Source organism: Homo sapiens, chromosome 1 (assembly GCF_000001405.40).
Source record: "Homo sapiens chromosome 1, GRCh38.p14 Primary Assembly".
Classification (NCBI taxonomy): domain Eukaryota; kingdom Metazoa; phylum Chordata; class Mammalia; order Primates; family Hominidae; genus Homo; species Homo sapiens.
In genome coordinates, this window is record NC_000001.11 from 66,849,263 (window position 1) to 66,865,043 (window position 15,781).

The 15,781-nt window shown below is 35.4% G+C and overlaps 1 protein-coding gene across 13 annotated transcripts in view; it reads right to left on the minus strand.

Annotated features, from left to right (window-relative positions):
- Nucleotides 1–15,781, minus strand: part of DNAI4 (dynein axonemal intermediate chain 4) — a 111,972-nt gene that overhangs the window by 36,378 nt on the left and 59,813 nt on the right. For all 13 annotated transcript variants that reach the window (XM_017002354.2, XM_047430752.1, XM_017002353.2 and 10 more), the window contains one exon: nucleotides 12,885–13,040. In XM_017002354.2, coding sequence (XP_016857843.1) covers nucleotides 12,885–13,040 — 156 coding nt within the window. The remainder of the gene's footprint in view (nucleotides 1–12,884; nucleotides 13,041–15,781) is intronic.

The following is a 15,781-nucleotide window of genomic DNA, read 5'->3' on the forward strand; positions in this document are numbered from 1 at the left end:
CTAGCCATGGTGTTGTCAATGGAAACCAGAGCTCCTATCACTGCCCCATGGTAATGAAGACACAACTTCCCCTGATGTCATTGGAGGTCAAGTGGCAAATATAGACTTCTACTCCCGCCTGGAAATAATCAGGCAGTGACTCCCACTTTCCCCTGCCAGAACAGTGTCAAACAAAGCCTGCTAAAATGGAAGTTTAGAAAAGATCCAGACTCTTACAATACCCCAAATGTCCAGGTTTCAATTGAAAGTCACTCATAATACCAAGAACCACGAAAATGTTAACTTGAATGGAAAAAAGCCCCTATACACCAACATCAATGTTAGAATTATCTGACAAAGAGTTTAAAGCAAACATCATAAAAATCATTCAACAAGTATTTATGAACACACTTGAAACAAATGAAAAAATAGAAAGTATCATCAAAGGAATAGAAAGTCTTAGCTAATGAATAGAAAGTCTTAGCAAATGAAAAGAAAAACCAAATGGAAATTTTAGGAGTGAAAAACATAACTAAAATTTAAAACTCAATGGATGGGCTCAACAGCAGAATGGAAGAAAAATAAATCAGTAAACTGGAAGAGAGAACAATGGAAATAACCCAATCTTTAAAACAGACAGAAAAGTCTGAAAAAAATGAAGACTCTCAAAAACCTCTGCAACCATAACAACATATGTACCATTCATATCATTATCATCCGAGGATTGGAGGAACGGGGTGAGCCTGAAAAAGTACTTAAAGAAATAATAGCTGAAAACTTCCAAAATTTGGCAAAGGACAATAGCAAACATATTCAAGAAATGAATAAATCACAATGATGATAAACTCAAAGAAATGCACACCAAGACACACCATACTAAAATTTCTAAAAACAGAAGACCAAAAAAAAAAAAAAAAAATCTAGAAAGCAGCAAGAGAGAAATGACACCTTATCTTTAGGGGGAAAATACTTTGAATAGCAGCAGATTTCTCATTAGAAACCCTAGAGGCCAGAAAAAAGTGGCACACATTCTCTGGGTTCTGAGTGGAAAGAATGGTCAATGCAGAATTCTATACCCAGTGAATTTTCCTATGGGAATAATTCTATACCCAGTGAATTATCCTATAGGAATAAAGAGGAAATTAAGATGTAGTATTCTCAGATGAAGGAATACTAAGAATTTGTCTCAAAAAAAAAAAGTCTTCCCTAAAGAATGGCTAAAGGCAGTTCTCTAAACAGGAAGAAAATGAGAAAGGAATTTTAGAACATCTGAAAGGAAAAAAGAACAATGGGAAGAGAGAAAATAAAGATAAATAGAATATACTTCTTATTCTTTTGAGTTTTCTTCATTACGATTGACAGTTAAAGCAAAAATTATTACATTGTCTGATATAGTTTTAAATGTCTAAATATTAAATGTTTATATATCTAAATATCTTTCTAAATACTTAGAAAAAATATTTAAGGCAAATATAAATGGGGGTGGAATCTAAAGGGAGGTAAGGTTTCTACGCTTTACTTGAACTGGTAAAATGTCAACATCTATGGACTATTGTGTATGCATAATGGAATATGTAAATTAAATAATAAAAAAGCTGCACATAAACTCAAAACACTACAGGTAAATTAAAGCAGAATGGTAAAAAAAATGTTTGGAAAAGCAGCAAGAAAGCAGGAAGAAGATAAGAGTGAAATATAAGATAGATAAGATAGAATAAGCAGAAAAGAACAGCAGACTTAAGGGCTAACATGCGAATAAAAAATTAAATACAAATGGTCTACATATACCAATTTAGAGATAAAGACTGACAAAAAAAATTGGATTAAAAAACATGACTCAAACATATGATGTCTACAATAAATTTATTTCAAATATACAATGTAGATAGGTTGAAAGTAAACAAATAAAAAAAGATATAGCAGGCAAACATTAACCAAAAGAAAGCAGGAGGGGCTATATCAATATCATATAAAGTTGACTTCAGAACAAAGAAAATTACCAGGGATATATAGCAACATTATGTCATGATTGTACCAAGAAGACATAGCAATAATTAATGTTTATGCAAAAAAACAAGGCTATAAAATATGTAAAGTAAAAATTATTAGAATTGAAAAGAGAAATAATGGTTATATAAAATTTTGATGGAATAAAGAGACAGAAAATCAGCAAGGGTATATATGAACTCAACAACATCATCAACTAAAAAGATGTAACTAATATTTATATAATATTCCACCTAATAACAGCAGAATACACATCCCAGGCCATACAACAAACCTTGACAAATTTAAAAGAAGAGAAATCATAGTGTGTTAAAAGAAGAGAAATCATAGTGTCTTCTCCAATTACAGTGGAATCAAGCTAGAAATCAATAATGGAAAGACAACAGGAAGATCTCCAAACACTTAGAATCTTAAAAAAACAAAATGCTGTAAATAATCTGTGTCAAAGAGGAAGTCTCAAGGGAAATAAAAAATGTATTTAATAATGAAAACAAAACACAACATATCAAAATTTGTGGGATACAGATAAAGCAGCACTGAGAGGAAAATTTACAGCATTAAATGTATACATTAGAAAAGAAGGAAAGTCAAGTCAATAATCTAAGTTCCCAAATTGAGAATATAGAAGAGAAAAAAGAGCAAAATAAACTTAAAGCAATGAGAAGGAAGAAAATAGAAGAGAAGTAAATGAAGTTAGAAACAAGTCAGTGATATAAAGAATTTCTTCCTTGACAAGATTAACAAAATTGACAATCTTCCAGCAGACTGACAAAGACAAAAAGAGAGAAAAAATAAATTATCAAAATCAGGAGTAAAATAGTAGTTACTACAGATCCTACAGACGTCAAAGTGATAATAACAAACAACTCTACATAACATAAATCTCACAACTTAGATAAAATAAACCAATTACTTAAAAACAACTATTAAAAATTATATTATGCTATTAATAATATAATTTGAATATTAAGAAAATTAAATGTGTAATTTAAAAAACTCACCCACAAAAAATCACCAAGCATGGATGGTTTCACTAAAGAATTCAACCAGAAACTTAAAGAAGAATTGTCACTAATTCTACATAACCTTTTCCAAAAATAGAAAAGGAAAGAATACTTGCTCATTCATTTTATGAAACTATTATAATAAAGTGAAACAAAGTGCAAAAAAGAAAGCTACAAATCAATATCTCTCATCAACATCAACATAAAAATCCTTAGCAAAATATTACAACACAGAATTCAGCAATATATAAAAAGAATTATTATACACAATGACCAATTGAAGTTTATTCTAGGATAAAAGAGTTCTTCAATATTAAAAAATCAATCAAAGTAATCCATACGTTTAGGCCAATGAAAAAAAATCACATGATCATATCAATCAATGCAGAAAAATCACTTGACAAATCAACCATTTATTAAAAAAAAAATCTCTCAGAAAAATAGAAACAAGCAGGGTGTTACGGACAGAATGATTGTGTCCCTATAAACTCATGTGTTGAAATTCTAACCCCCAATGTAATGGTGATTAGGAGGTAGGACCTTTGGCAGATAATTAACTCATGAGAGTGGAGCCCTCATGAATGAGATTAGTGTCCTGAAAAAGATACCTCCAGAGAGCTCTTTTGCTCTGTGTCTGCCATGTAAGGATACAAGAAGTTAGCAATCTGCAACATGGAAGAGGGCTGTTATGATTTTTATTGTTATAACTTCTTTCTAATTTGGTCTTGAGCTCTCTCAGTCAAGTAGCTAAAGCCAAGATAGCTACTCTCTAGAAGGGCCCTGACCAGGAGGAATGGTAAATTCAGGTGTGTTGGTTAGGTGAGACACCATGAGGAAGTGAAACCAAAATGCACAAAACAGCAAAAACGTATTACTCACAGGTCTCAGAGAAATTATTGGTTATTATTCTCCTAACAAGAAGCTGATGAGAAGCACAGAGGAGGCAAAGAATTCAATCACCAGGAAGGGCGTGAGAAAGAGAGAAGACATGCAGAACTATGCCTCATGGGCATTACCCCTTGGGCTTTCCCACAGGTTTATGGATTGACGAGCTTAAAGAAAACACGGCTGAGTCAGGGAACTTACATGATTCTAGTGTTGACCATTAGGTTTTATCATGGTCAGCAGCTGTAGGGTATATTGAGTTTTAGGCCTGTGAGATGAGGAACAAGTGGGCTCTATGGCACACAACCACATAGCAAAGGGAAGTTTTAACCAGGCTAAAGGTGATGGGGGTACAACACAGTTTCAAACAACTTATGTCAGACCTAACAGTGAATGCCAAGGCAGCAACTATGTTAAACAAATTTCCAACAAGTGTCCCACACCAGAACCCAACCATTCTGGCACTCTGATCTCGAACTTCTAGCCTCTAAACCATGAAAAATAAATTTCTGTTATTTATAAACCCCCAGGCCTAGGGTACTTTGTTGCAGCAGCCCAAACTGACTAAGACAAGGATGTCCCTCAACTTGATAAAAATCATCTACAAAAAAACTACTGGTAACATTATACCTCATGCAGAAAGACTGAATTGTTTCTTACAATCAAGAACAAAGGCAAGAATGTCTGCTGTCACCACTCTTACTCAATATAGTGATAGAAGTTCTAGCAGAGCAATAAAGCCAAAAAAAGGAAATAAAAGGCATGTAGATCAGATAGAAAAAAAATGATACTGTCCCTAAATGCAGTTGACATGATTGTGTATGTTGAAAATCCCAAGGAACACAAAAATACTCTTAGAACTGATGTGTGTATTCAGCAAGGTCACCACATACAAGAAAAACATAGAAGAATCTACTGTATTTCTAAATACTACCAATAAACAGGTGGACACCAAATTAAAAACACAATACTGTCTGGGAGCAGTTGCTCATGCCTGTAACCCCAGCACTTTGTAAGGCCAAGGCAGGAGGATTAGTTGACCTCAGGAGTTTGAGAACAGTCTGGGCAACATAGTGAGACCTCATGTCTACAAAAATTTTTAAATTAGCTGAGTCTGGTGGTAAACACCTGTAGTCCCAGCTACTTGGGAGGCTGAGGTGGGAGAATTGCTTGAGCCTGGGAGGTTGAGGTTGCAGTGAGCCATGATTGTGCTGCTGCATTCCAGCCTGAGTGACACACCAAGACCCTATCTCAAAACAAAACAAACAAAATACTATATACAATTGCTTAAAAAAAAACTTAGGTGTAAATCTATCAAAACATGTACAGGGCTTGAATGCTGAAAACTACAAAATGCTGATTTTAAAAGGTTGAAGAAGATCTTGGCCGGGTGCAGTGGCTCACACCTGTAATCCCAGCACTGGGAGGCGGAGGCAGGCAGATCACCTGAGATCAGGAGTTCGAGACCAGCCTGGCCAGCATGGTGAAACCCCGTCACTATTAAGAATACAAAAATTAGCCAGGCTTGGTGGTGTGCACCTGTAATCCCAGCTATTCGGGAGCTGAGGCAGGAGAATGGCTTGAACCCGGGAGGAGGCAGAGATTGCATTGAGCCAAGATCATGCCACTGTACTCCAGCCTGGGTGGCAGAGCAAGACTCTGTCTCAAAATAAATATGTAAATAAAAATAAAAATTAAAAAAGTTCAAAGATCTAAATAAATGAGATCTAAATAAATGGAGAGACATTCCATGTTCACAGATTGAAAGACTTAACACAGTAAAGATATCAATTCTTTTTGCACTTAATGCTTTGATATCCTAGGGCCTTGCTAACCCTGGAGGAACTGCCCCCACTAGCATTAGCCAATTCCTAAAGATAGTAAAGGATTCACCTGATAGCATACCTTCCATATGCAAACCAATCAACCAGAGACCATAACCCAACTGCCTCCTTAACAAAGCTTTCCCACTCAGTCACTAGTTTCCCTTGCCCTAATTACCCAGGGCCAGCTACCAGACAAGTAGGAATATCTGCTAAACCCCAGAACCCACTGAAATTACTCAGACTAGCCAATCCTAAACTTGCCTACCTTGCCTCACCATTCCTTTCCCTAGTAACCACAATAAAGGCTCTTGCCCATGTTTTCCCCATCACTCTCTCTGCCTTCTGACCAACTCTGATACTTACATATGTAGTTCATGGCATGAAATGCCTCCTTCTGAGATCTGTGAGTATAATAATAAGCTATCTTTGCAATGGCAATCATCTCCTGATCTGTTGGTTTTGCCATACCTCAATAAGAACAAAACCTACATTTTAAAACAATGTTGTCTGCTTTCAATATAAAGATACAAATACAATAAAATTAAAGAAATGGAGAAAGATATACTATCTACACACTAATCAAAGAAGCTGGAGTAGCTATATTTAATTACAGGTGAAGCAGGCTTCAGAGCAAAGAAAATTATCCGAGATAAAGAGGGGCATTACATATGAAAAATGGGTCAATTCTCCAAGAAGACATAATAATCTTAAATGCTTATGGTGCAAAAAACAAGACTACAAAATATGTAAAGCCCACTGATAGAGTTGAAAGCACAAGTCCATTATTACAGATGGAGACTTAACACTCCTCTATATCAGTAATTAACAGATCAACAGACAGAAAATCAGTAAAGATATAGGTTTGTTGCAGTTGTTGTTGTTGTTTTGAGACAGAGTTTCACTCTTGGTTGCCCAGGCTGGAGTGTGATGGCGCAATCTGGGCTCACTGCTGTCTCCACCTTCCAGGTTCAAGCGATTCTCCTGCCTCAGCCTCCCAAGTAGCTGGGACTAAGGGCACCCACCACCACACCCGGCTAATTTTTGTATTTTTTAGTAGAGATGGGGTTTTGCTATGTTGACCAGACTGGTCTTGAACTCCTGACCTCAGGTGATCCGCCTGTCTCGGCCTCCCAAAGTGCTGGGATTACAGGGTAAACCACCACACCTGGCAAAAGATACACTTGAATATCACCAGCAATCAACTGGATCTAAATAACACTTATAGGCGGGGCACAGTGGCTCAAGCCTGTAATCCCAGCACTTTGGGAGGCCGAGGTGGGCAGATCACGAGGTCAGGAGATCCAAACCATCCTGGCTAATATGGTGAAACCCCGTCTCTACTAAAAATACAAAAAAAAAAATAGCCAGGCATGGTGGCGGGCGCCTGTAGTCCCAGCTACTCGGGAGGCTGAGGCAGAAGAATGGCGTGAACCCAGGAGGCAGAGCTTGTAGTGAGCCGAGATCGTGCCACTGCACTCCAGCCTGGGCGACAGAGCGAGACTCCGTCTCAAAAAAATAAAATAAAAATAAAAAAAAATTCTTATAAAATAGTTAATCGATTATCAACAAATAAACATTTTTCTCAAGCTCACATGGCACATTCACCAAGATAGACTATATTCTGGGTCATAAAACACATTTGAAAAATTTAAAAGAATAGAAATCATATACAGTCTCAGAACACAAAGGAATTAAATTAGAATTAAATAAAAGAAAGATAGTTGGACAATCCCAAAATATTTGAGATTAAACAAAACATTTATAAATAACAAATAGGTCAAAGAAGAAGTCTCAAATGAAATTTTGAAATATTTTGAACTAAATGAAAAGGAAAATACAACTTATCAAAATTTGTGTGGCACAGCAAAAACAGTTCTTAGAGAAAAATTTTAACATTGAACACATATATTGGAAAAGAAGAAAGATCTAAAATCAGTAATATAAGCTTCCACCTTAGGACACTAGAGAAAGAAAATAAACATAAACCTAAAGCAAGCAGAAAAAAAGAAAAGTTTGAAATCAATGACATCAAAAACAAAACATCATTAGAGAAAATTAATAAAATCAAAAGTTAGTTCTTTGAAAATATCAGTGAAATTCATAATTTTTAGCCAGGCTAACCAAGAAAAAAAGAAAGAACATTTAAAATTGCCAGTATGAGAAATGGAAGAAGTGTCATCACTACTGATTCCATGGACCTAAGAGAATTCATGTCCTTTGTAGGGACATGGATGAAGCTGGAAACCATCATTCACAGCAAACTATCACAAGGAGAAAAAACCAAACACCACATGTTCTCACTCATAGGTGGGAACTGAACAATGAAAACACTTGGACACAGGAAGGGGAACATCATACACTGGGGCCTGTTGTGGGGTGGGGGGAGGGGGGAGGGATAGTATTAGGAGATATACCTAATGTAAATGATGAGTTAATGGGTGCAGCACACCAACTTGGCACATGTATACATATGTAACAAAACTGCACGTTGTGCACATGTGCCCTATAACTTAAAGTATAATAAAAAAGAAAAAAAAAGAAAAGAAATAATGTTAAAGACTCTGCCCACAAATTTTTTTTTTTTTTTTGAGATAGAGTTTCACTCTTTTTGCCCAGGCTGGAGTACAATGACACGATCTTGGCTCCCCACAACCTCTGCCTCCCAGGTTCAAGCGATTCTCCTGCCTCAGCCTCCCGAATAGCTGGGATTACAGGCATGAACCACAACGCCCGGCTGATTTTGAATTTTTAGTACAGACGGAGTTTCTCCGTCTGTTGGTCAGGCTGGTCTTGAACTCATGTTGGTCATGTTGGTCTTGATCATGTTGGTCAGGCTGGTCTTGAACTCCCGACCTCAGGTGATCTGCCCACCTCAGCTTCCCAAAGTGCTGGGATTACAGGCGTGAGCCACCGCACCCGGCCTTCTGCCCACAAAATGTATAACTTAGATTGAAATGGAACAATTCCTTAAAAGGCACAAACTACCAAAACTCACTCAAGGAAAAATGGATAATCTGAATTGGCCTATATCTATTAAAGAAGCTGAGTCAATAATTAATAACCTTCCAAAATAGAAAGCATCATGCTTTCACTGGTGAATTCTACCAAATACTAAAGGTAAAAATATCATTTTTATACAATCTATTTCAGAAAATAGGTGAAGAGAAAATACTTTCCAACTCATTTTATTAGGCTAGCATTACCCTAACTCCAAAACCAGATGAAGACATTATAAGAAAGGAAAATTACAGAACAATATCTCACATGAAAGTAATGCAAAAATTGGCCGGGCGCGGTGGCTCACGCCTGTAATCCCAGCACTTTGGGAGGCCGAGGCCGGCAGATCTTGAAGTCAGGAGACCGAGACCATCCCAGCTAACATAGTGAAACCCCGTCTCTACTAAAAAAAATACAAAAAAATTAGCCGGGCGTGGTGGCGGGCACCTGTAGTCCCAGCTACTCGGGACGCTGAGGCAGGAGAATGGCGTGAACCCAGGAGGCCGGGCTTGCAGTGAGCCGAGATCAGGCCACAGCATTCCAGCCTGGGCAACAGAGCAAGACTCCGTCTCAAAAAAAAAAAAAAAAAATGCAAAAATCCTCAACAAAATATTAGCAAATAGAATCCACCAATGTATAAAAAGAATTATACAACATAATCAAATGGCGTTTTTTCAAGGTATGCAAAGCTGGTTCAACATTCAGGATCCAATTAATGTAATCCATCACATCAACAAGCTAAAAAAGAAAAATACATCAATAGACACAGAAAAAGTACTTGACGAAATTCATTGCACATTCATGATAAAAACTCCCAGCAAATTAGGAAGAGAAGGGGAACTTCCTGAACTTGATAAGGTACAGCTATATAAAACCTACAATTAACATCATACATAATGGTGAGAAACTGAAAACTTTCCCCTAAGATCAGTAATAAGGTTAGGATATCCCTTCTCACACAGGAGAAAATGGTGATAAGTTTTTAGATATAGCATCAAAAACACAATGTAAAAAAGAAAAAAATTGATAAATTAGACTTTATTTAAATTAAAAATGTATCATCTATGAAAAACCCTGCTAATAAAAATGAAGAGAGAAGCCATAGACTAGGAGAAAGTACATACATATATCCGATAAAGAACTAAATTGTACATAGGACCCTTAAAACTCAATAAGAAAACAAACAGCCAAATTTTTAAAAGGGCAAAACATCCACATAGATATCTCACCAAAAAAGATATAAAGATGCTCAATATCACATTAGGGGGTTGTAAATTAAAACAATAATGAGCTACCACTACATACATATTTGAGTGGCTACAATCCAAAAAAACTAAAAATACCAAATGCTGGCAAGAATGAGAAACAGGAATGCTCACTCATTGCTAATGGATGCAAAATAGTACAACCACTTTGGAAGACAGTTGGTAGTTTCGTAAAAGGCTAGGGATACTCTTACTGTATGATCCAAAAATCGGGCTCCTAGATATTGACTCAGATGAGTTGAAAACTTATGTCCACACAAAAACCTGCACATGAATGTTTATAACCGTTTTATTCGAAATTACAAAAAATTTGAAGCAGCCAAGATGTCCTTCAATAAGTGAATATATAACCAAACTGTGGTACACTCATCCAATGGAATATTATTCAGTGACAAAAATAAATGAGCTGTTAAGCCATGAAAAAACATAGAGGAGGCTTAAGTGCATATCGTTTAGTAAAAGGAGCCAGTCTCAGAAGGTTACACATATTGTATGACTCCAACTATATGACAATGTGGAAAAGACGAAACTATAAAGACAATAAAAATAAAAATATCAGTGACTATCAAGGGTACAAGAGAAAGGAGAAATGATGAATAGGTGGTCCACAGGGGATATTTAGGACAGTGAAACTATTAATTTTTTGCTGTATAAAACTGTAATGGTAGAAACATGCCGTTATGCATTTGTTAAAATACAAAGAACTATATAACACAAAGAATGGAACTTAATGTAAGCTATGGATTTTAATTAATAATAATGTATCAACATTGGTTCACCAATTGTAACAAATATACCACATTAATGCAAAATATTAATAATAGGGGCCACTGTGCACAGAAAGTAGAGAGATGAAGGGATTTTATGGAGCTCTTGGTACTATATGCTCAATTTTTCTGTAAATCTAAAACTGTACTAGAAAATTCCATTAATCAATTTTCTAAACCTACAGCACTATTTCAGAATAAAAAATAATTTTTCTCTATCAACTGAGATATGGTCTTCATTCAAAGGCAAATATTATTGGACGTTTTCCCCCCTTGAGTATGATAAATAGAAGGTTAAATGCAACTTGTATAATACATTCAAAGTTTAAATGGAATAAAAATATTTTTTAAATCAAATATGGACCATATTTAACTTTTTTTTCCTTTCTGTTTCTACTATAAAAACCTCAGAGTCAAAAGGACCTTAGAGGTAACTAGTCCTAGTTTTGATCTGAATTTCCTTTACATTTTCAATAAATCTGATTATTCAGCTTTGTTACCTATTTTTTTCTATTTTTTAACTTTCTTTTCCTAGTTCTAGTTTCCCCTACTCCCTTGACTGGCTATAATAGTAAAATAAAGTATATCTTTATTTTCTATTGCAGTTATTGAATATGGTTTTATTGTCCCTTTTGGTTTTTAAAAGCACACCCATACACACATGAAATACTCTGAAAGATTCACAAATTGAGATTTATTTTTTGTGGGGGACTTTGCACTCGCACATTTTTGTAGGTCAATGGCCTTAATGGTGTGGAAAAGATCGATCTAATATAAAGTCCCAGTGTAATTTCCAGTCTAAGATTGGATTGTTCTGAGCAGTTTTTGATAGCTTCTACAAGCAAACCTATTGTATAGACATTCATGCTTAACAAAAACAATGTTTCTTTAGTGATAACGAATATTAAATAATTTATTCTTCCCCTTCATTGTTCTCTTAGAAAATTAACTATTCCTCATTATAAACAACCTTCAGTAAAACATAGCTCTAGTTTACATGACCATAAACATAGCTAAAGAACTATGGAATATAGGCCACTTATTGAAAGTTAAGATTCAAAGAGACTAGAAAATGAGATTTTAAAAAAGGAACAAGTCGAAAGGTCTTTGGGATCTATAGTCTCCTAAGGAAATGTAGTCAGTTATAAATAAGGGAATTGTTTTCCAGAAATTATTCTCTTTAAACTTGTTATTTCGAAATACTTATACTTACTGATTTACTGAACTTGAAAATATTCCATTTGTCTTTGGGTCAAAATTAGTGAAAGTAGGAACATTTCCATTTAATTTTAAAAATTTGCCAAAACTTAAAAAAATGTATCAGGTTTTAGTTATTCTAAAATGAGGACCATCACCTAAATGCAGTAATATAATTTTGTAAGAAAAAGATACAACATTTCAGAATAGGAAAAGTAAAAGTAGATAACCATAAACTATTCAGAAGTGGAATTGAACAAACTTCTCATAACTAGACTTAGTAAAGGTTCTTCCACATTGCAAAGTTTATTTGGAAAGCTACAACTTTGTATTGATTTTAATTATAACATTTCATCTTAAAAATTAAAATACTAGAAGCTAAAGTTGTAATGTAGGGTTTCTCAACCATGGCAGTACACGTACTGACATTTTGGGTTGAAAATTCTTTGTTGCAGGGACTGTCCTGTGTACTGAAAGATTTTTTGCAGTATCCCCGGTAGATGCCCTCATAGTCATGAAAAACAAGAATGTCTCCAGACATCCAAATGTCCCCAGGGGAAGTAAAATAGCCCCAAATTAAGAGCCACTGTTGTTAATGTATAAATCCATTTTAAGTTGTCATAGAGCTAGTATACATCCTTTTTCTCATAAGTAATCTAATTGAACAAAAGGGAGATAGAAAATGATGGAACTCACATGTAGGAAAGAGAGCTTAAGAGCAAGTAAAGGTGCACTAGAGAAAGAGACAAACTGAAAATTCTTGACAGATATCCAAGAAAAATGTAAATTTTTCAGTTAAGTCCAAGACCATGTGATAGAGTAATAGTGCTATTTCTGAGTAAAAGTTGTACTTTTCATGGTCCATTAGAAAGAAAACATTGTTAACTGCCAAAAAAGAATTTATTAAAAATGCCATGTTAAAGTCATTCAAAAAAACTAAAATAAATGAAATCTTACTTTTTTCTGTAGTGCTCCCTGGCAATCTTTGGTCCTGATCTTTAGGAAGTACATTTGCTTTACTACTTGACTCAACCACAGATTGTTTTACTGATAAAGATACAAGTTCCATAGCATTGTAAGAATCATACAAATCCCAGGCAGTGGACATTATGCCTAGATAAAGACACAGAAAGGTAAAAATTGTTTTAAACCAAATTCCAACATTTTAGCTTTATACATAACTAGTCACAGAAAAAGCTAAGATAAGAATATCTACTATTGCCTGATGCAGTTGCCCGTGCCAGCTACTTGGTCCACCTGAGGCAGGAGGATCACTTGAGGCCAGGAGTTAGAGGCAGTAGTGTGCTATGATGACACCTGAGAATAAATAGCCACTGCACTCTAGCCTAGACAACATGGTAAGACCCTCTCTTTAAAGAAATTAAAAATTAAAAAAGAATCTACTGTTTATTTTTAAAAACACTATTGTTTTACAATATAACTGGAAGTGGATAGAAATGACAAAGAAATACATCATGAGGATACCTCAAGAGATCCTTAGTCATCACACTATTAGTATCTACAAACACTTTAATGCTTTAAGGATAACTCCAAATTATCTTCACAATATTTTCTGACCATCACACCTCCCTTCCCACTACCCCACACCTCTACAGCATAATCTCATTGGTCTGTCATTGTAGGGCTGCCTTGGTGATATGCATCTGGGCAAATATGTTATAAAAAGACTTTTATGTTCCTTTACTTATGATTAATACATAATATATTGTCAACAGGTATTTGCAAGCATCTGATTCCATTTTTATCAAGTAAAATTTCCTATACACTTATTATGTGAAAAGATTGCCCCTGCTGGGAAAATTGATAGACTCTGATCTCAAGAAGCTTGTATAGTAGTACGGTTATTATCGTCTCTTTTAAAATTATAGTTTAGGTTAAATTTATTCAAATCATCAAAAATATAACAATGGTTTGCAAACAAATATTGGCAATGTTATTTATCTTTAAATAATAACTTAAAAACTCCAAGTCTCTTCCACTGCTGATTTATGTTTATGCAGCAATTATTTTATCAGCGATCATGTAACAATATATTTGTACATGCTAAATTTACCAATTTTTCAGTTAAAGGATGGTGATTTAATAAATAATTTTTTTCCTTAAAAATCAAAACAGAATGTGGATCTAATAAATGCAGCCTCTTAATTGCTACAACTATTATTTTCCTAATACAAAATGGAGGAGCTCTAGTAAAGCAATGTTTTCAATCGGTAATAATCGGGTTTTTTGTTTTTTTGTTTGTTTATTTGTTTGTTTTGTTTCATTTTTTTAAGAGTTTTGCTCTGTTGCCCAGGCTGGAGTGCAGTGGTGCAATCTCAGTTCACTGCAACCTATGTGTCCCGGGTTCAAGTGATTCTCCTGCCTCAGCCTCCCCAAGTAGCTGGGATTACAGGCACCCACACCACGCCTGGCTAATTTTTGTATTTTTAGTAGAGATGGGGTTCACCATGTTGGCCAGGCTGGTCTTGATCTCCTGACCTTAAGTGATCCACCTGCCTTAGCCTCCCAAAGTGCTGGGATTACAGGTGTGAGCCACCATGCCTGGCCTCAATGGTAAGAATGTTAACTCAAATTTCTTAATGATATTTATATCTTAATGAACTTATCATAAGGCCATCTAACAAAGTCATGCACAGAATACCTAGTATATTTTGCTCAGTTGAAAAAAGTACATTTTCCATGTTCATGAAGAGAACTTAGAAATTACATCTTTGAACACTGAATTACTCAACTTTCTTTTTCTTTTGTTTAACTGAAAGTTTAGTAAGTTTAGCATATAGGAACATACTGTTACATGGTCATTAATAACTGTTACATAAATAAATACGCCTATTATAAATAAGCAATACAATATGTTTGGATAATTAAAAGTTGACTCTTATTTGTAGATAACAAATTACTGCTCATTTTAGTTTGGGTACTATAGTTACATTTGTTCATTTGAACAAGTTTAATTAACCTAAGAAACAAACTTTCAAACCTGTCAAATTGTATACATTAATAAGTGCAGTTTTGTATATAATTCTAACTCAATAAAGCTGTTAAAAAAGTCTCAAAATTCATGCCCTAATGTTATGTAAAAGATGGGTAATAATGAATAATTGTGACTTCCCAATTTTATAATTATATGCTATTAAAGAAAGCTTATTTTAACTGGTATCAGAAAAGAAGCATTCCAAACTATGCCTTTTTTTTTAAGCATTTCTCAGTGTAATACATGTTTAAATAGTTGCTAAAAGGCAAAGAAACGCAGGTGTCAACAGATGGAGACTGGCTAGCAAGAGGTAATGCAGAGGTGATATGGGCAGTTCAGTTACAGCATCTGCTATAAAAGAAAAAACATTTAAAAGAGCAAGGTAGGCCAGGCGCGGTGGCTCACGCCTGTAATCCCAGCACTTTGGGAGGCTGAGGCGGGCAGATCACGAGGTCAAGAGATCGAGACCATCCTGGCCAACATGGTGAAACCCTGTCTCTACTAAAAATAGCTGTGCATGGTGGCGGACACCTATAGACCCAGCTACTCCGGAGGCTGAGGCAGGAGAATCGCTTGAACCCAGGAGGAGACAGTTGCAGTGAGCCGAGATCGTGCCACTGCACTCCAGCCTGGGCAACAAAGCGAGACTCTGTCTCAAAAAAGAGCAAGGTAATGATCAACCCAAAAGTTAGGAGAGTGGATACTTCTGTTAGAGGTGGCTAGAAGAAAGAGGGTTGTGATAGGACAGTGTACAGGGGGCTTCTAATCAACTGGGGATGTTCTATTTCTTATCCTGGCTGGTGAGTACATGGTATTGATTTTTTCTTTACACTACACATGTATGTGTTGTATGCTCTTC